We start from the raw sequence: 22,268 nt of genomic DNA on the forward strand, positions 1-22,268 counted from the left end.
GCTGGTATAAGTTGATTCCAGCACATCAGTGATCCTAACAAACTCAGGCACTACTAGATCTTAAATTCATCTGGGTCTTTCTAATTAATTAGCTTAATACTGGAGCTACCAAACAACACTCTACACTGCAGCTTCCTCTTCATTTCTGCACTTTGATCTATAATCTGTAAATATCTAGATAAAGCTCATTAATTAGTTTTAAGTAACTAGCTCCTCAGCTAATATTCTTTGTTAGCTGAGGAGGAGTCTGCCGTGTACATTGTAGAATGTTTGGCAACATCCCTGGTCTCTACTCACTCAATGCCAGTAGCACCTCTTAGCTATGATGATCAAAAATGTCTCCAGACATAGCTAAGTGTCACCTGAGAGGGGTCACTTTCTGCTTTTCTGTGATAGATAGATAGATAGATATAGAGATATATGAATAATATTAGTGAATTATAGGAAATGATCAAAGGAAGGCTCACAGGCTGTTTATATGGCACAAACCAATTGCAAGGAAACTAAAGAATATAGTTAATCTTTTGGATATTTCCAAATATCTAGATATGAATCACCAAATAGGCAAAACATCTGTGAGTCAGACTGAATTTTTCCAGTTTTCATCTGGAAGATTATCATTCTGTAAATATGTTTCATATCTCATTGGTCAAATGACTATGTCTGTGTAATAGATAACACTGGTTCAGAAATCTGTTGATATGGTATTTTGAGCTGTCTTACAGTCTAATTTGAATCAAAGCTCAGCTGCTCTGACTTAGTATGCAAATTGAAATGATGTACAAGAAAAAATTATGTATTGATTTTTTAGTCACACTTTGATGCTATAGCTCAAGATCAGTACTCTCACCAATTGTGTATTTTTTATCTTTCATTATTTGCCATAAATAGTTTTAAAAATATAGGGAAGTTCATATTAATTTAATGAGAAAAAGCTAAAAGTTGTAAATCTTAGACATTAAACTAATTTCTCTCTCTCTCTCTCTCTCTCTAATTTATTCCTTTATGGCAAGCTTATCTCATCTCTTTTCACTGGCTTACACACTTTCAAAAGTAGAAACTTTCTTCCCTAGACATTTCCATTTTGGATATCATCACTGAAGCATATACCTTAACCTGGGGATATGAACATTATATGGCTCCCTATAAGAACATCACTTTCATAATGGCGCAGTGGGGAACCTTCCCAAAGCTTTTGTGTGTATCTCTACATGGAGACAAATTTCAAAATATAGGAAGCCAATTCTAAGTAAGCATAAAGCTCACCTTAGCAGCAACGGAAGGATCAACCTCAATTTACTTTTCTACTTTATGTACTGGTAGTGGTAGTTATACTAGTTGCTACTATTTTGGTACAAGGGAATGGAAAAAAGAACTCCTTATTTTTTTACTCTTACCTCATGTGAACAAACGTTTTCTTTGCCTGAGGAAAGTTTGACTCAAAATTAGCCTTATTTTCCTCACAGAATTGTTGAGTGGCTTTATATTATTTTAATCTTTGACGCTTAATGATATCAGAAATAAACTGAGATCTAGAAAAAAAAAAGATCCTCTCTAACATATTCAATTTCTTAAGCACATTTACATCTTTGATCATTAATGAACTCAGCACAACCAAGTGAACCTGGATTTTGAGGGGAATATCCTATATTAATATAGGAAGAACTAAACAAATAATACAACTTAAATATACAGAGCTGTTTTCTTAATGTGACTATTAGATTTGATTTCAATAGAATTTATCTTATTTCAAATTATTATTTATTCGACAAAAGTTACTTAATCGTGGAGTGACAGAAAAACATTTTGAAACCCTAATTTCTACATTTTTTTATTTTGAAATTAACATATGCGACATATTCTTTAGAATAAAGCACAATCTATTGTATACTTATATTTGTTTTTGCACTTTCGACATTTTCCCATCAATTATCTCACAGAACTTGGCAGAGCACCAAATTAATCATAATCTGTGTTGTGGGCTCTTGTATCTATTTTGGGGGCATCCTGTTTTATTATTTTCCATGGGAGATTGCATTTTCTTGAATTCAGAAGACTATTAGAGATTTATATTCAACTTGATGCTTCACAGTGACTCATTGTGTATACCATCTGAAATGCATGGCCAGAGATTTAATAAATAAAGAACAGAAATGTCAAGCTTAATTCTAAATCATCATGTCTGACAAACATTTAGCAAACTTTGCAAGATTTTTATGCTTCATTGTGTTCTACGGAAACAGATGAATTTATGATTTAGTCTCTTTTGCATTTTAGATGCTTCTATAATAAACTTGGCAGACAAGTAATTACTACCTTTTGACAATGGATGTAATGCACAGTTGAGTTGCAGTATAAGAATAATAAGTACATAAAATAAACTCACCAGCTAAATAGTGTATTACTGAGTCCGATATAAGTATGCCTCCTAGAAGAAAATCTTTTTTGGCATGAATATTCCTAAAGAGTATGGTCAATCACAGAAATTAAATGAGAATACTGAATTTCCAGATGTATAATTGAGTAATTTTCTCCTCAAATTACTCTGTGCATCTTAACAAGATGCAATTAGTATATTCTCAACTCATATTTTCAGATAAATGTACTGTTACATTCCCTAAAAGTATAAGACAATTAACTATTTACTAGTCAATATTAAATGTCCTTTTATTAATGACACATTTTATAGGAAGAGAGAAATTCATTCATGCCTTTAACATACTTTAAAAATTATTTTTATATAGCAACTTTTATTAGTTTAATATAAAAGTAGAAATATAAGATATAAATTATAGCTGCTGCAAAATAGTTTTGAAAATTATACACAATTACATCTTGAAAAGAGAAAGTTTTTAAAACTCATCCTTTTGAGGGAATAAGCAGGGTGCCAGTTTATGGATAATTACACCTCAAAAAGAGAAAGTTTTAAAAAATCATCCTTTTGAGGGTATAAGCAGGGTGCCAACTTTATAGATAATTGATTCATCTGTGCAAAAGAATGTACCTTGAAGAGACTAGCCATCAGCCACAGTCAGCAGTCACTCATAAGAAAGAACTCCTAACAGATGTCTCTTCTCTTTCTTTTCAAATAGGAAGACAATCCTTCCAATCTTCCTTTTTCAACTCATATTTCTTCAACACCATGCTATCTGCCAGATACTATAGTAGGCACTGAAAAACTTTTTTCTCTTCCTATTCTTTCTCCATGTCAAGTCCTACAGAGTGTGGCCATAAATATACTATTTACTGTTTACCACTGCATTGCAAGTTAAAACTGTTTCTTTGAATTCATGTTGTGTTATTTGGTAGAATTATAGACAAGTATATATGAAGGGAATACATAGCACTATATTTCATTATGTGGTGTTAGACTTCTTATTGTTGTCATTGCTCTCTGTATAATAATGCTTAAGGAAAGTATAAAACAAAAGCTCATCTTACATTCCTAGACTTGCAAAACATTTCTCTAAAACAGAAAATATTTCTATTTGTTTTGTTCTCACCTCTGACATCATCCATGATTTTCTACTTGGTTGAAGAAATCTCTTAATTTTGTTTCTTACAACAGCACTGTCTTAGTCCTTTCAGGTGGCAATAACAGAATATCACAGACTGGGTGACTTATAAACAGTAGTAATATATTTCTCACTGTTGTGAAGGCTAGGAAGTCCAAGAAAAAGATGCTACCATCATCGGTGTCTGGTGAAGGTCTGCTTCTCAGTTGATAGCCATCTTTTTTACTGTGTCCTCAGATGGTGGAATGGGTGAGGAGGCTCCCTGGAGTCTCATTTATAACAGCACTAATCCAATTCATTAGCGAGAGTGGTCCAATATTACTCACCGCTTTGGATGTCCCTTTGTGGTTGCCAAAATGTTACTGGGGGTCCTTGCTCCCAGAGCTCCCAAGATGGTGGTGGGCCACTTCCAAAATGGCGGCGGGCCACTTCCAAGATGGTGGCAAGTCTCGTGTTCTCTGACCTGGGGTTCTTGGCCTCACAGATACCAAGGAATGGAATCTTGGGCCATGTGGTGAGTGTTATAGCTCTATTAGAAGTCGTGGGTCATGGAAGAGAACCATGGAACCCAGTGACTAGTGTTCAGCTCGATTAGGACCAACCCAGGCACTTAGCCGGGCAGGTACAATGGCAAGCCTTTAGCCCGATCGGGAGTGGCAATGGGCGCCTTGCTGGATCAGGAGCACAGCAGACACCCTACCGGATCCGGAGTGATGGAAGTCAGCGGCGGGTCTGCGATGGTGGCAAAACAGCAGTGGTGGACAGTGAGCGAAAGCTCAGCTCCAGCCATAACAAACACGCACCAGAAGAGTGCAGTTGCAAGATTTAATAGAGTGAAAACAAAGCTCCCATACCAGGGGAGGGGACCCAAAGGGGGTTAGGTTGCAGGCTCCAATGCCTGGGTTTATATCCCGATCCTTGTCCCTCCCACTGTGCTCTCAGGCAATAGATGCTTGGCTATTTCTTTACCTCCTGTTTTTGCCTAATTAGCATTTTAGTGAGCTCTCTGATTGGTTGGGTGCGAGCTAAGTTGCAAACCCCATGTTTAAAGGTGGATGTGGTCACCTTCCCAGCTAGGCTTAGGGATTCTTAGTTGGCCTAGGAAATCCAGCTAGTCCTGTCTCTCAATATGAGAATAGCTACTCCTCCTTGCTTTTGGTGTCCATTTGCATGGAATATTTTTCCCCTTCTTTACCTTGTTTATGCGAGTTCTTATGTGTTAGGTGAGTCTCTTCAAGACAAAAAAATACTTGGTGGATTCTTTTCCATTCTGCCATTCTGTATCTTTTAAGTGGACCATTTAGGACATTTACATTCAACGATAGTATTGAGACATGAGGTACTATTTTATTCATTGTGATATTTGTTTCCTGAATATCTTGTGTTTTTTAATTATGCTGTTGTTTTTTAGGTCCTGTGAAATTTATGTTATAAGAAGGTTCTATTTTGTTTTATTTTGATTGTTTCAAGATTTAGAGCTCCTTTTAGCAGTTCTTGTAGTGCTGGCTTGGTAGTAGCAAATTCTCTCATTGTTTGTCTGATATAGACTTTGTATTTCCTTCATTTATGAAGCTTAGTTTCACTGGATAAACATTTCTTGGCTGATAATTATTTTGCTTGAGGAAGCTGAAGATAGGATCCCAATCCCTTCTGGTTTGTAGGGTTTCTGCTGAGAAATCTGCTGTTAATCTGATAGGTTTTTCTTTATAGGTTGCCTGGTGCTTTTGCCTCACAGCTCTTAAGATTCTTTCTTTTGTCTTTACATTAAATAACCCGATGACTATATGTCTAGGTGACAATCTTTTTGTGATAGATTTCTGGCTTCTTCTATTTGGATGTCTAGATCTCTAGCAAGGTGGAAAATGTTTTCCTCAATGATTGCCTCAAATATGTTTTCCAAACTTTCAGATTCCTCTTCCTCTTCAGGAACACCAATTATTTGGGAGTTTAGACATTTAACATAGTCTCAAACTTCTTGGAGGCTTGGTTCATAATTTAATTATTTTTTCTTTGTCTTTGATGGATTGGATTAATTCAAAAGCCTTGTCTTCAAGCTCTGAACTTTTTTCTTCTACTTGTTCAATTCTATTGCTGAGACTTTCCAGTGTATTTTGCATATCTCTGAGTGTGTCCTTCATTTACTGAAGTTGTGATTGTTTTTTATTTATTTTATCTATTTCTCTGGAAATGTTTTATTTATATCCCGTAATATTTTAAAATTTCTTCAGGTTGGTATTCACCTTTCTCTGGTGCCACCTTAAGTAGCTTAATAATCAACCTTCTGAACTGTTTTTATGGCAATTCAGAGATTTCTTTTTTATTTGGCTCCATTGGTCTGAAATCCACAACCCCATCCCACAAAGCAGCAGCAGCAAACCCTGCCCAAGGAAAGTCTGAGCTCAGACATGCCTTACCCTGCCCCCACCTCATAATCTTTCTCTACCTGCCCTAGTAGCAGAAGACAAAGAACATAATCTCCTGGAAGCCCTATGGTCCTGCCCACCACCTGAGAAACTTATCCAGGTGACCCTAGGGCAAGCCTGTGCCCTTCTTATACCACTGCAGCTGATGCTCTCTTGAAAGTACCATCTCCTGGCTGGAGGAAAACAAACACAAAACCAGTGAACTAAATAAAAATACAACAAAAATTCATGGATGAAAGACCTACAGACTGATCACATCACAGGACTCTTTGCAGACATTCCCCAGTACCAGCCCAGAGTTCGATAGCTGTTCTGGGTGGCTATATCCAGAAGAGAAATAACAATCAGTGCAGTTTGGCTCTCAGAATGTCCCATCCCTAGGGGAATGGGGAGAACACCACATCAAGGAAGCACTCCGTGGGACAAAAGAATCTGAACAGCAACCTTAAGCTTCAGATCTTCCCTCTGACATAGTCTACCCAAATGAGAAAAAAACAGAAAAAGAGTTCTGGTAATATAACAAAACAATGTTCTTTAACACCCTAAAACATCACACTGAGAATAGTAGCACTATTATTTATTTATTTTCACAGAACTTTATTTTTATCTCTTGCTTTACTGCTAATGAACATATGAAACATGCAATAAGAGATTCAGTAGAATGGATGTGTTAACAATGAGCATCTTTATCTCATTTTCAATCTGAGAGAGAAATTTTTACTAATTCAATATTAAATATAATACCTGCTGAAGAATTTTTATGGATTATTATTGAGTTAAAAACATTACCTTTTATTCCTTGTTTGCTAAGAGTTTTGTGTATAAATGATGCATGAGTTTTAATGATTTTTATGCTTATATTGAAAATTGTCTCAACATAAATGTGTGTAGAAAAAGATGACTCTAAAAATGGAATACAGTATGTTAAAAATAACTGTTCTTATTTTATTCAATTATGTTGTTTCACAATATTGATCCTGAGTCACAAATGATATAAAAACTGAAAGAATAGATTACTTAAATGAAAATCATGGTCTAACTGAAAGATTTGTGGATACTAAAATATTATTAATTATTTTCTGAGGTTTAACCATTCAGGAGAGATGGTTATCTCTTTGTATTCAATAAAACTATTCCCGGAAGATTTCTGGTCTTCCTTTGGTAACCTACAGTTGTAGAAATTTGTATAAAAATGGCTGAAATTATTTCCTTCCCTGCAACCATGCCCATTTGCAATGTGACTTTGTGACTCTTTCCATCAAGATGAGGAGTTTATTTCCCTGTCCCTTGAATATTAACAACTCTTAGACTTTGATCAATAGAATGTGGCTGAAATTATAATGTGTCATTTTCCAGCCTCGATCTTGAGAGGACTTGCACAATCTTGCACTCTTTTAGAACTCTGCTCAGCTATCTGGTGAATAGTTTGACAGCTTTCCGGATGATGACAGGCATATAACCCAGTTGCTTGTTTTCTTCCCTGAGAGCCAGCCAAACGCAAAAAGTAAAACTACCTACCTGATTTATAGTTGACTGCCAAGGACAGAAGTACAGTCTAGTTTGAATTCAGCCAAAATTGCTAATCCGTAAAATCATAAACTAAATAAATAGTTGTTATTTTAAACCACTAAGTTTGGGGGTGGTTTAATATGCAGAATAAGCTATATGCTACATCTGTATGAAATATCAGTTTGTTTTTATCCCAGAATTTATTCACCCAGCCAGTTACTTATTTGACTAATGGAAAAAACACCTCTTATGTACTAGCCACATTTTTATGTACTGGGATTGAGCACTAAACAAAACAGAAACCGTACCTTCATCATTCTGAGACTTGTGAACAGAGGCAGAAAATAAAGAACATAAAAAGTAAAATATCTAATATCCTAGATGGTTGTAGATGCAATTATTATATTAGGTGGTGAGGATTTTTTTGTGTAAAATTAAAGAGAAAAAATAAAAATAGAGTAAGAAGTGGGATTAGGAAAATGTTTTCTTCCTTTGAGAGAAATAGCAGCATGTTTAAATATTGGTTAGGAAGCTCTAGCAGAGAGACAAAAAATTGGTGACACAAAAAATATGACACTAATTTATCCCCGCTGTAGTAAGAATGCAAGAGGAGCCTGTTTTCCACAGAATACTAATAGGAGAAATGCACTTCTGGCCTGGTCAAAATGGCCAACAGCTATTTGGTTTGTATTTCAACTGTGCTCATGTAGAAAGAGAGAATAAAGTTTTTAAAAAAGAGGTGAAAAAGAGTAGAAGAAAATCCCTCACACACTTGCTTTTCATACTACTTGGCAGTTGCACAATATGTGCTCAGTCCATATGCTGCATTCAGAGACTGTGTGCTCAAAGGGGCTCTAATGACATGGCAAATAATTATATGACTATGCAGCTGTCTGACTTCATCCCTACTCTCCCTTCAGCTAGCTTTCAATCTTACTAATCTGTGATTATAATCAGCAAATACTTTGAGACACAATGGGCGCACTGGAGCTTCAGAGTAATACTATAATAGTAACAATATCACCTTACCCAAGCTGCCTCAACAGTGCCAGGGACACAAGATAAACCCATAAGCTTGGGAAATAAGATGTCAGCCTACTAATTAGGAAGACAGGAATTGGTTTCTGACTCATCCACTGACTCACTCTGCCCTCAGCAAGTCACATTGTCTCCCTTGGCATTATCATCATTACAAAGAATAAGATGACTTCTGCCTTCTTAGATATATTGACAATTTACACATATTCAGAAGCTCTAAAAATGTGAGAGAAAAATGCCTTATACTTTAAGGTAATAAAGTTAGTTTGTTTTTTGTTTGTTTGTTTGTTTTGTTATAGCAGTTTGTTTTCATGTTAGGCAGATGACAAGTGGATAAAATTCCCCCTTTTTTCTGGAATGACATCAAGCCATTGAAATATAAAACTCTCAGGGGCGGGGCCAAGATAGCCAACTAGAAACAGCAGCAATCAGAGGCTCCCATTGAAAAGAACCATAACAGCATGCAAATCCTGCACTGGCAACCAAGGTATCCAGGTTCTGTCATCAGAACTTACTAGGTGATTGGCATGAACCATGGACAGGAAGGAAGAGCAGTGTGGCACAATGACCCACCTGAGAGCCACATGGGGAAGAGGAGCCCCCATACCCCATCCAAGAGAGATGGTGAGTGAACGTGCTACCCAGCCTGAGAAAATGTGCTTTTTTCACGGAACTGTGCAACCCATGCATTGGAAGATTCTGCTCTTGAGCCCATACCACCAGGGCCTAGGGTCCCAACTATGAAGCCATGCAGATTCTCAACAGCCACTAAGCTAGAATCTGCTAAAGTCTGCCGAGATCCCAGGGGGAGGAATGGCCAGCACCACAGCTGTGGCTGTCTGCTGTCTAAGTTGTTTGAGCTTCTTGGGGGAGAGATGAAAGCCAACCCTGGGACTGATAGCCACCTAACACACTAATCTCCCAGGGCAGGGGCAGGGCAGCAGCCATCTGCATAGCTCCAGGCTGCGCTTTTCCTCTGCTGGAGCAGGGGATGCTGGATGGCTTGGTCCCAAGAGGTATCCCCCACAGTCCAAAATACCAGCTGTGGCAGACTGCAGACAGAGTACCTCTTCAGGCCTGACGACCCATCCCTCCTCACTGGGTGGGGCCTCTTTGCAGGAACTCCAACACCTCCAGCCAGTGGATCAGGGACAGAACTCTGATCTCCATGGGTCTGAGCCTGTAGGAGGAGAGGTGGCCGCAGTCTCCACAAACCAGCAGACTTAGCCTTTCCTCCTGCTAGTTCTGAGGAATCCAGGCAGCCCAGAGAAGTGGTTTTCCCCCAGTGAAGCACACCCCCCTCCACCAAGGGACAGTCAAAGTACTTTGTTAAATGTGTCCTGCTCCCCGTGCCACCCAATTGGGTGAGACCCTCCAACAGGGGTTGCCAGACACCCTATACAGAAGCATTCCTACTGGCATCATGTCAGTGCCCCTTGACGTCAGAGATCCCAGTGGAAAGAGCAGTGCTCATCTTGGCTGTTCCCCAGCCCCCTTGAATGACATCTCCTGGCACAGGAGTGAACCAGATGAATACGCCTGAAGTAAACCCCCGGCAAACTGCAGCAGCCCTACAGAAGAGGGACCCGACCATTGCAAAAATAAATAAATAAATAAATAAATAAATAAATAAATAAATAGGCCAGGTGCGGTGGCTCACGCCTGTAATCCCAGCACTTTGGGAGGTCGAGGCCAGCGGATCACAAGGTCAGGAGATAGAGACAGTCCTGGCTAACATGATGAAACCCCATCTCTACTAAAAATACAAAAAATTAGCCGGGCATGGTTGCAGGTGCCTGTAGTCCCAGCTACTTGGGAGGCTGAGGCAGGAGAATGGCCTGAACTTGGGAGGTGGAGCTTGCAGTGAACTGAGATGGTGCCACTGCACTCCAGCCTGGGTGACAGAGCGAGACTCCATCTCAAAAAAATAAATAAATAAATAAAACAAAAATAAATAAATAAATAAATAACAGAAAGCAACAAAATAGCATCAACAACAACAAAAAAGTCCCCACAAAAACCCAATCCACGGGTCAGCAGCCTCAAAGATTGATACTAGACAAACTCATGAAGATGAGAAAGTATCAATGAAAAAATGCTGAAAACTCGAAAGTCCAGAGTCCCTCTTCTCTTGCAAATGATTGCAATGCCTCTCCAGCAAGGGGGCAGAACTGGACAAAGGATGAGATGGATGAGTTGACAAAAGTAGGCTTCAGAAGGTAGGTGATAACAAACTCCGCTGAGCTAAAGGAGCATGTTCTAACCCAATGCAAAGAAGCTAAGAACCTTGATAAAAGGTTACAGGAGCTGCTAACTAGAATAACTAGTTTAGAAAGAAACATAAATGACCTGATGAAGCTGAAAAACACAGCAAGAAAACTTTGTGAAGCATACACAAGTATCGAGAGATGAATCAACCAAGTGGAAGAAAGGATACCAGAGCTTGAAGATCATATTGCTGAAATAAGGCATGCAGAAAAGATTAGAGAAAATAGAATAAAAAGGAATAAGCAAAACCCCTGAGAAATATGGGACTATGTAAACAGACAAAACCTATAATTGATTGGATTACCTGAAAGAGATGGGGAAAATGGAAGCAAGTTGGAAAACACACTTCAGGATATTATCCAGGAGAACTTCCCCAACCTAGCAAGACAGGCCAACATTTAAACTCACGAAATAAAGAGAAAACTACTAAGATACTGCACAAACAGAATAACCCCAAGACACATAATCATCAGATTCTCCGAGGTCGAAATAAAGGATAAAAACGTTAAGGGCAGCCAGAGAGAAAGGCCAGTTCATCTACAAAGGGAAGCCCATCAGACTAACAGCAGACCTCTCAGAAGAAACCCTACAAGCCAGAAGAGAGTGGAGGCCAATATTCAATATTTTTAAAGAAAATAATTTTCAAAGCAGAATTTCATATCCAGCCAAACTAAGCTTCATAAGTGAAAGAGAAATATAACCTTTTCCAGACAATCAAATACTGTTGGATTTTGTGACCACCAGGCCTGCCTTGCAAGAGCTCCTGAAGAAAGCACTAAATATAGAAAGGAAAAAATGGTACTGGCAACTGCAAAAATATACCAAAATATAAAGACCAATGACACCATGAAAAAACTGCATTAACTAGTGTGTAAAATAACCAGATAGCATCATAATGACAGGATCAAATTCACACATAACAATACTAACTTTAATGCAAATGGGCTAAATGACCCAATTAAAAGACTTAGACTGGCAAATTGGATAAAGGGTCAAGAACCATTGGTGTACTATATTCAGGAGACCCATCTCAAGTGCAAAGACACACATAGGCTCAAAATGAAAGGAAGGAGGAAAACTTACCAAGCAAGTAGAAAGCAAAATCACAAAATGCCAGGGTTGCAATTCTAGTCTGTGACAAAACAGACTTTAAACCAACAAAGATAAAAAAAGACAAAGAAAGGCACTACATAGTGGTAAAGGTATCAATTCAACAAGAAGAGCTAACTATCTTAAATATGTATGCACCCAATACAGGAGCACACAGACACATAAAACAGATACTTAGAGACCTATAAAGAGACTTAGTCTCCCACACAGTAATAGTGGGATACTTTAATGCTCCACTGTCAATATTAGACAGATCAACAAGGCAGAAAATTAACAAGGATATTCAGGATTTGAATTCAGCTCTGGATCAAGTGGACCTAATAGACATCTAGAGAACTCTCTAACCCAAATCAACAGATTATACATTATTCTCATTGCTACATGGCACTTATTGTAAAATTGACCAAATAATTGAAAGTAAAACACTTCTCAGCAAATGCAAAAGAACTGAAATCATAACACTCACTCAGACCACAGTGCAATCGAATTAGAACTCAGGATTAAGAAATTCACTCAAAACTATACAACTACATGGAAATTGAATAGCCTTCTCCTGAATCACTCCTGGGTAAATAATAAAATTAATGCAACTATCAAGAAATTCTTTGAAACCAATAAGAACAAAGAGAAAATGTACCAGAATCTCTGGGACGCAGCTAAAGTGGTGTTAAGAGTCTCAGAATACAAAATAAATGTGCAAAAAATCACAAGCATTTATATACACCAACAATAGACAAGCAGAGAGCCAAATCATGAATGAATTCAAATTCACAATTGCTTCAAGAGAAGAAAATAACTAGGAATATAGCTAACAAGGGATGCGAAAGACCTCTTCAAGGAGAACTACAAATCACTGCTCAAGGAAATAAGAGAGGACACAAACAAATGGAAAACCTTTTCATCCTAATGGATAGCAAAAATCAATATCATAAAAATGGCCATACTGGTCAAAGTAATTTATAGATTCAATGCTATTCCCATCAAACTACCATTGACATTCTGTACAGAATTATAAAAAACTACTTTAAATTTCATATGGGACCCAAAAAGAGCCTGTATAGCAAAGACAATCTGAGGCAAAAAGAAGAAAGCTGGAGGCATCATGCTACCTGACTTCAAACTATACTACAATGCTACAGTAAACAAAACAGCATGGTACTGGTACCAAAACAGAGATATAGACCAATGGAACAGAACAGAGACCTCAGAAATAATACCACACATCTACAACCAGCTGATGTGTAACAAACTGGACAAAAACAAGCAATGGGGAAATAATTCCCTATTTAATAAATGATGCTGGACAAAGTAGCTAGCCATATGCAGAAAACTGAAGCTGGACCCCTTCCTTACACCTTATACAAAAATTAACTCAAGATGGATTAAAGACTTAAATGTAAAACCCCAAATCATAAAAGCCTAGAAGAAAATCTAGGCAAAACCATTCAGGACATAAGCATGGGCAAAGACTTCATGATGAAAATGCCAAAAGCAATTGCAACAAAAGCAAAAATTGACGAATAGGATCTAATTAAACTAAAGAGCTTTGGCACAACAAAAAAAACTGTCATCAAAGTGAACAGGCAACCTGCAGAATGGGGGAAAAGTTTTGCAATATACCCATCTGACAAAGATCTAATATCCCAAATCTACAAAGAACTTAAACAAATTTACAAGAAAAAAGAAACATGAAAAAGTGGGCAAAGAATATAAACAGACACTTCTCAAAAAAAGACATGTATGTGGCCAAAAAACATATGAAAAAAGCTCAGCATCACTGATCATTAGAGAAATGCAAATCAAAACTACAATGAAGTATCATCTTACACCAGTTAGAATGGCGATTATTAAAAATTCAAGAAACAATAGATGCTGTCAAGACTGTGGGGAAATAGGAATGCTTTTACACTGTTCGTGGGAATGCAAATTTGTTCAGCCACTGTGAAAGACAGTGTGGCAATTCCTCAAAATTCTAGAACCAGAAATACCATTTGACCTAGCAATGCTATTACTGGATATATACAGAAAGGAATGTAAACCATTCTACTATAAAGACACATGCACATGTATATTTATTGCAGCACTATTTACAATAGCAAAAACATGGAACCAATGCAAATGCCCATCAATGATAGACTGGATAAAAAAGATGTGATACATATATACCATGGAATACTATGCAGTCATAAAAAGGAATGAGATCATGTCCTTTGCAGGGACATGGATGAAGCTGGAAGCCATCATCCTCAGCAAACTAACACAGAAACAGAAGAGCAAACACTGCATGTTCTCATTCATAAGTGGGAGTTGAACAGTGAGAGCACATGGACACAGGGAGAGGAACGACACACACCAGAACCAGTCGGGGGGTGGGGGATGAGAGAAGGGAGAGCATTAGGACAAATAGCTAATGCATGTGGGGCTTAAAACCTGGAGGATGGGTTGATGGGTGCAGCAAACCACCATGGCACATGTATACCTATGTAACAAACCTAAATGTTCTGAACTTGTACCCCAGAACTTAAAGTAAAATAAATTAAACAAAAATACGTTGCTTCCTTAAAAAGATAATTGTAAGGTATGGAGGAAATACACAGAGGAGGAACTAGAAATGAGGAAAGAGGCTAGAAAATATAGATAAGGATAGAGTATCAATGGATAAATGGAAAAGCAGAGTAATTTTTATATTTAAGTTCATTGATGTTCTATCAGGAATATAGTTATAGTTCTCAGACTGTTTATCAATAGACTCATATAGCAACATTTTATTTCCATTAAAATATAATTACAAGTGTTTATAAGTTTAAAAAAAGAAATATAAAACTCTCAAGTGTTACCTTCAAAATTTTCTCTTTTGGTGGGTTGGTACTAAAGTATAACGTGGGAGGCGTTGGCCTAGAAAGCTTTTCCCTCCTGGTTCTGCCATCTCCATCAACTCTAAATACTACTAGAAACAATAATTTTTATTTTAATCTAATTGATTTCTCCTCAGTTCTACAGAACACAGCCATGTCAACTCAAAGCAAAAGCAACCACTTACCAGGAAGCTCAGGTCGTTAAATTTACTTCTGGGCCTTGCTATAGCTTTATAGAGCCTTCTATCAATTCAAAGTTCCGCTCTTTATACCCTTCCAAACAAAAAGGAAATATGCTATGCATGTAGCGTATTTCTGTTTATTTCTTCATTCATTAATTAAACAATATTTCTGAGAAGCTACTATGTTTAAAGCATGATGCCAAGGACAAAATAGTAAGACACACCTTGTCTTATCCTCTTAGAGCACACTAAGCTAGCAAAGTGAAGACATGAACTAGATTTATTAGTATATTTTGCATGTGGAAGAAAGGAAAATAAACATTTAGAGGAGTGTATATGCCCTCTCATTTCCATATGACTTTCAATACCTTTCTGTGGAGAAGGTATACTTCCTTGCCCCATTGACATCACTTTCGGCTATGTGTGTGGCTGAAGAAATATGTGCAGTACTGACAGTTTGCCAAATTTTAAAGAAAAGCTCTAAAAGCCAGCATGTGGTTTCATGTGGTTTCATCAGTTCTCTTGCCTTTCCCTTCCACCATGAGAGTAGTAGGTCCTGGTTGGGGGTCGCTCCTTAGCCTGGATCCAGAAAGGAAGAAATCATGTGGAACAGAAGCAGAATTGCAGTCAACCTGCAGCCAACATGTAAAGCAAGTGAGAAGTAAATGCCTGTCATCTCCATGTGTCTATAAAAGATATTTGTTTTCATATTCAAGAATTTTTTTACGCTTTTGAAGTGAAATAACCTAATTTACAATAAAGAGAAAAAGACATTGAACTTTGAGTGGTGAAGTTTGATACATGTCTCTTTATGATACAAATTGCCATAAGACAAAATTTATCATGGTTTGTAACCAATGAGAAATTTCAAAAGGGTGGTATAATCTGTAATGAGAATAAAGATATTAAGGGTCAATATAATATAAGCAATAGATTTTATGGGTGCCATAATAACTTTTTTTTTCACAGTACTCCTTATTAGGTAAAATATAATTTTGGCCTAGAATTTAAAACTATTGTATTAATAATATTTTTCTGAATTTGCCCTTATTGTGGAATATTGTAGACATTATTCAACGTTACAGCTGAAAGAAACACTAGAGATTACTTAGTTCCAGCCTTTCATTTGATGATTAAAGGAACTGGTGGAGGGTAGTAGAATAAGTTACTTAACTAAAATTGCGTAGTCATTTATGACAAAGCTATGATTCTAGACCTTCTGACTCCGAGTCTAATTTTCTTCTAAATACACTGTACTGCCTTCATCACAGAGTGTCATAGTTGGGAGCATATGAAAATAAGAGTACTATATGCCAGTATTGTACTAAACATTTTACATACACAATCCCATTGAATCCTTAAAATAACTCATTTTACCAAGGAGTGGACAGATTAATGAGGTTAACTAACAAGCCCAATAACTGATAATTAGTCAGTGTCTGAGTAGAGATAGAAATCTGGGCAATCTAGCTCTTGAATCAGTTTTCTAAACTACAGGGAAAGAAAAGAATATAATAATATTGAGATGAGGGAAAGACTGGGTACATAATTGGCAATCAAAAAAGTTATTATTTTTTTAAAATTAGTGCTTGTATCAAAGCATCCACAGTCCTAAGTTCATCTGTAAAATATCACACATAATATATTCGACTCCTTTGAGGCCCTTGGACTCAGTTTACAAGAGCCAAGCCTATTTTAGTCCCATGAGGTACTGAGCAGACAATGGCAAATTATGTGAAACTCTGAAAGGCAAATTTGTCTAGAGCCCTCAGCTCCCTATCCCAGGAAGAGCTGTACTATGAGCATATTCTGAGTGCTGCGATCCTCTCAATACTTTTACTAAATGAAACAAACATCTAGCAAGGATTTATAGGAAAGCAGAATTACTAGGTCACAGTAATTTTGTGGAAATTTTGTGAATATTTTCAGTATATTCTCTTCCCCTTAGGCTGCGATAGAAGGTGGAGCCCAGCTGAAGGGCGTGCTGAAGGCTTAGTCTCAGTTGATATTATTATCACAGTTTCCACTTCTCAGGGCTCTTTTGCCCAGAGGACTCTGCCTAAACACTCTCATCATGGCTTGGCATGAAACTTCAATAAGTATTTATTAATGAAATGACTGTGTAACTTAGGCAGTTGGAAATGTTTTATTTCACTTGGCCTAAGTATCATTAGCACAATTGTGCAGAGTAAGTGAAGAAGAAAATGTAGGTTGACAGTAAAACCCCTCAAGGATGTCTTTCTCCCATTATCCAGGGAAGGCCATGTGAGAAACTGACAATCTGAATGGCACAATTTTGTCACCCAGGTGCTTTTCCCATTTGCTTGCCTTATTCTAAGGAGAGCTGTATTCAAGTTCCATGACAGTTACTGATCTTGCTTGACAATTACCCTTGTGCCTAAGAGATATATACACAGGTTAGCATGGCCTGTACTATGTTACGAATGCCATGAAGTCATTTAGTGTCTAAAGCCTAGATCATAAGCTTTAGAGTCTGCCAGACCTAGGTTTAATTCCTATCTCTATCCCCTATTTACTTTATTACCATGAGGAAAATTATTTAACATGCCTGAAACTTTGTTCCTTTTGTGTACAATGGGGGAAGAAGTAATGCCTACATCTCGAAAAACTGTTCATTCATTCAACAAAAATTTGAGACTCTGCCCAGTACCAGATACACAGAAGAACAGAAAGATAAATAAATTGTATAGTGTATTAAGAGATGAAAAATGCTATGGAAAAATAAATTATAAAACAGTGTAAGAGATGGGTAGTGTTAGGGTGGGAGTTGGAAATACAGAGTTCTTTAAAATAAGAAAGTCAGGGTGGGCCTTTGGTGAATAAAGACAGAAACTATGTTCTTTACTTTTAATGAAAAAAGTGAGCCAGTGTTGGGTACTGAGCAGGGGAGTGACATGATCAACCTTACCTTAAAAAATTAATTCTGGCTCTTATGTTGAGTATAGATTGTAAGAGGGAAGAGTAATAAGGAAATCAGTGAAGAAGCTATTGACCTAACACACGTAAGAGATGATAGTGGCTCTAACATTGGAACAGGTTGGTAGTAGTGGATGTTATAGGTGGTCAGATGATAGATAATTTTATAGGCAGAGGAAGACACTGAGTGTTTTCATCTGAGCAACTGGAAGGATGAAATTTCTATCAAATGAGATAGGGAAGGTTATGGGTGGAACGGGTGTATGTGTGGAAAGAAAGATCAAGGGTTCAGTTTGGAGGCATTGAGTCTGAGATGCCTACTGAACATCGAAGGGGAAAGTACAGTAGGCAGCCAGCTGAATGGATCTGGAGTTCAGATAAGAAAATTTTGCTGAAGATATAAATTTGGAATGTTATGAGGATTAAATGAGACAGTGTAAGTAAAGCACTAAAAGCAACATGTGATTCATAATAAACATTCAATATATATTAGATTAAAAGTGTGTCATTATAACATCAAAAATTATAATTCCCACTACCTGTCTAGCACAGTGACTGGTACTTAGTTGGTGTCATATATGTACATGAAGTAACCAAAGAGTAATATTTCAAGCTATGGTATATATGGGTGATTTTGGGGAGTGCCACACAGGAAGTAACCATAATGTATTTTTTCACTTCAATGCAAATTTATTAATTGGTCATTTATATTTTTAATTTTTATTATTTTTTCATCTTCGTGGCTACATAGTAGCTGTATATATTTATGGGATACATGAGATATTTTGGTATAGAGATGCAATGTGTAATAATCACATCATGGAAAAATGGGTATCCATCTCCTCCAGCATTTATCCTTTGTGCTACAAACAACTCAATTATAATATTTTAGTTATATTAAAATGTACAGTTTAATTATTATTGATGATAATCCTCCTGGTGTGCTATGAAATACTAGGTTTCATTCATTTTAACTATTCTTTTGTACCCATTAACCATTTGCACCTTTTTCCCACTCCACCTCCATTTACTACCCTTCCCTTCCTCTGGTAACTATCCTTCTATTCTCTATCTTTATGAGTTCAATTGTTTTAATTTTAGATTCCATAAATCAGTGAGAATATGTGATGTTTGTCTTTCTGTGCCTAGCTTACTTCACTTAACATAGTGAACTTTAGTTTCATCCATGCTGTTGCAAATAACTGTTTATCATTCCTTTTTAGGGCAGAATAGTACTCCATTGTATATATGTACCATATTTTCTTTATCTATTCATCCATTGATGGACACTTGTGTTGTTTTCAAACCTTAGCTATTGTAAACAGTGCTCAACAAACATAGGAGTGTAGATATCTCTTTGATATACTGATTTCCTTTTTTTTAAGGTATAGACACAGCAGTGGGGTTGCTGGATCATATGGTACCTTTATTTTTGTTTCTTTTTGAGCAATCTCTAAACTGTTCTCCATAGTAGTTGTACTAATGAACATTTCCTCTGACATTTCATCACCCAGGTATTAAGCCTAGTACCCACTGATTATTTTTTTGTGATCCTCTCCCTCCTCCCACTCTCCACCATCCAACAGACCCTAGTGTGTATTGTTCCTCTTTATGTGCCCGTGTGTTCTCACCTTTTAGCTCCCACTTATAAATGAGACCATGCGGTATTTGGTTTTTTGTTCCTGTGTTAGTTGCTAAGGATAATGGCCTCCAGTTCCATCCATATCCCTGCAAAAAATATGATCTTGTTCTTTTCTTATGGCTGTGCAGTATTCCATGGTGTATATGCACCACATTTCCTTTATTTAGTCTATCATTGATGAGCATTTAGGTTGTTTCCATGTCTTTGCTATTGTGAATAGTGCTGCAGTGAACATGTGTGTGCATGTGTCTCTATAATAAAACAATTTATATTTCTTTGGTTACATACCCAGTCATATAAATAGTTGGTTGAATGGTATTTCTACCTTTAGGTCTTTGAGGAATTGCCGTGCTGTCTTCCACAATGGTTGAATTTTACACTACCACCAACAGTGTATAGACATTCTTTTTTCTCCACAACCTCGCCAGTATCTCTTATTTTTTGACTTTTTGATAATAGCCATTCTGACTGGCATGAGATAGTGTCTCATTGTGGTTTTGATTTGTATTTCCCTAATGATCAGTGCTGTTGAGCTTTTTTCATATGCTTGTTGGCTGCATGTATGTCTTCTTTTGAAGTGTCTGTTCATATCCTTTGCCCACTTTATTTTTTATTTTTATTTTTTGTGAATTGGTTAAGTTCATTATAGATGCTGGATACTAGACCTCTGTTGAATGCATAGATTGCAAAAGTTTCTCTCATTTTGTAGTTTGTCTGTTTACTCTGTTAGGAGTTTCTTTCACTGTGCAGAAGCTTTTTAGCTTAATTAAATTACATATGTCAATTTTTGCTTTTGTTGCAATTGTTTTTGGCATCTTTATTATAAAACCTATTCTTGTGTCTATGTCCTGAATTGTATTGCCTAGGTTGTCTTCCAGGGTTTTTATAGTTTGGGGTTTTACACTTAAGTCTTTAATCAATCTTGAGTTAATTTTTGTATATAGTGCAAGGAAGGGGTCTAATTTTAATCTTCTGCATATTGCTAGCTAGTTTTCTCAGCACCCTACTGAAAATGAAATCCTTTCCCAATTGCTTGCTTTCATTAGGTTTGTCAAAGATCAGATAGTGATTGGTGTGCAGCCTTATTTCTGGGTTCTCTATTCTGTTCCATTGGTCTATGTGTTTGTTTTTGTACCACTACCAATTTGGTTTTGTTTACTGTAGTTCTGTAGTATAGTTTGAAGTTGGGTAGTGTGATTCTTCCAGATGTGTTCTTTTTAATTATGATTACTTTGGCTATTCTGGCTCTTTTTTATTCCATATGAATTTTAAAATTGTCTTTTTCTAGTACTGTGAAGAATGTCAATTATGGTTTAATAGGCATAGCATTGGATCTATAAATTGCTTTCGACAGTATGGCCATTTTAATGATATTGATTCTTCGTATTAGTGAGCATGAAACGTTTTCTATTTGTTTATGTCTTCTCTGATTTCTTTGAGCAGTGGTTTGTAGTTCTTGTAACAATCTTTCACCTCTCCAGTTGATTTTTGTATCAACATTGATTTTGTATCCTGAGACTTTGCTGGTGTTGTTGATCAGCTTAAGAAGCTTTTGGGCTGACAGTATGGTGTTTTCCAGGTATAGAATTATATCATCTTCACACAGGGATAGTTTGAATTTCTCTCTCCCTATTTGGATGTGCTTTAGTTCTTTCCCTTGCCTGATTGCATTGGCTAGAACTTCTAGTACTATGTTGAATAAAAGTGGTGAGAGAAGGCATCCTTGTCTTGCACTGGTTTTCAATGGGAATGCTTTTAGCATTTGCCCATTCAGTATGATGTTTACTGTAGGTTTGTCATTTATGGGTCTTATTATTTTTAGGTATGTTTCTTCAATACCTAGCTTTTCACATAAATGCATGTTGAATTATCTTGAAAATCTTTTCTGCCTCTATTGAAATAATCATCCTTTTATTTGTCCTGAGTTCGTTTTATGTGATGCATCACATTTATTGATTTGCATATGTTGAATTTACCTTGCATCCCAGGAATAAAGCCTAATTTATCTTGGTGGATACGTTTTTTGTTGTGCTTTTGGATTTGGTTTGCCATTATTTTGTTGAGAATTTTGGCATCGATGTTCATCACAAGTATGAAGCTAAAGTTTCCTGTTTGTTTTTCATTGTTTTGTTTTTGTTTTTGTTTTTGTTGTTGTTGTAGTTTTTTATCTCTTCCAGGTTTTGGTACTAAGATGACACTGGCCTCATAGAATGAATTAGGAAAGAGTCTCTCCTTGTCAATTTTTGGAATAGTTTCAGCAGAAATGGTACCAACTGTTCTTCGTACCTCTGATAGACTTCAACTGTGAATCTGTCTGTTCCTGGGCTTTTTTTGTTTGGTAGGCCATTTATTACTGCCTCAATTTTAGAGTTTGTTATTGGTCTGTTTAAGGATTCAATTTCTTTCTGGTTCAGTCTTGGGAGGGTTTGTGTGTCCAGGAATTTACCCATTTCTCCTAGATTTTCTAGTTTAGGTGCATAGAGTTGTTCATAATATTCTCTGATGGTTGTTTGTATTTCTATAATGTCAGTGGTAATATTCCTCTTGTTGTTTCAGATTGTATTTATTTTAATCTACTCTTTTTTTTTCATTAGTCTAGCTAGTGATTTATCTATTTTATTCATTTTTCTCAAAAAACAGCTCCTGGATTCATTGATCTTTTAAAGGGTTTTTAGTGTCTCTATCTCCTTCAGTTAAGCTTTTATTTTGGCTATTTCTTGTCTTTTGCTAGCTTTGGGATTTGTTTGCTCTTAATTCTTTAGTTATTTTTGTTGTGATGCTAAGTTGTT

This window comes from Homo sapiens, chromosome X (genome assembly GCF_000001405.40).
Source record: "Homo sapiens chromosome X, GRCh38.p14 Primary Assembly".
Classification (NCBI taxonomy): domain Eukaryota; kingdom Metazoa; phylum Chordata; class Mammalia; order Primates; family Hominidae; genus Homo; species Homo sapiens.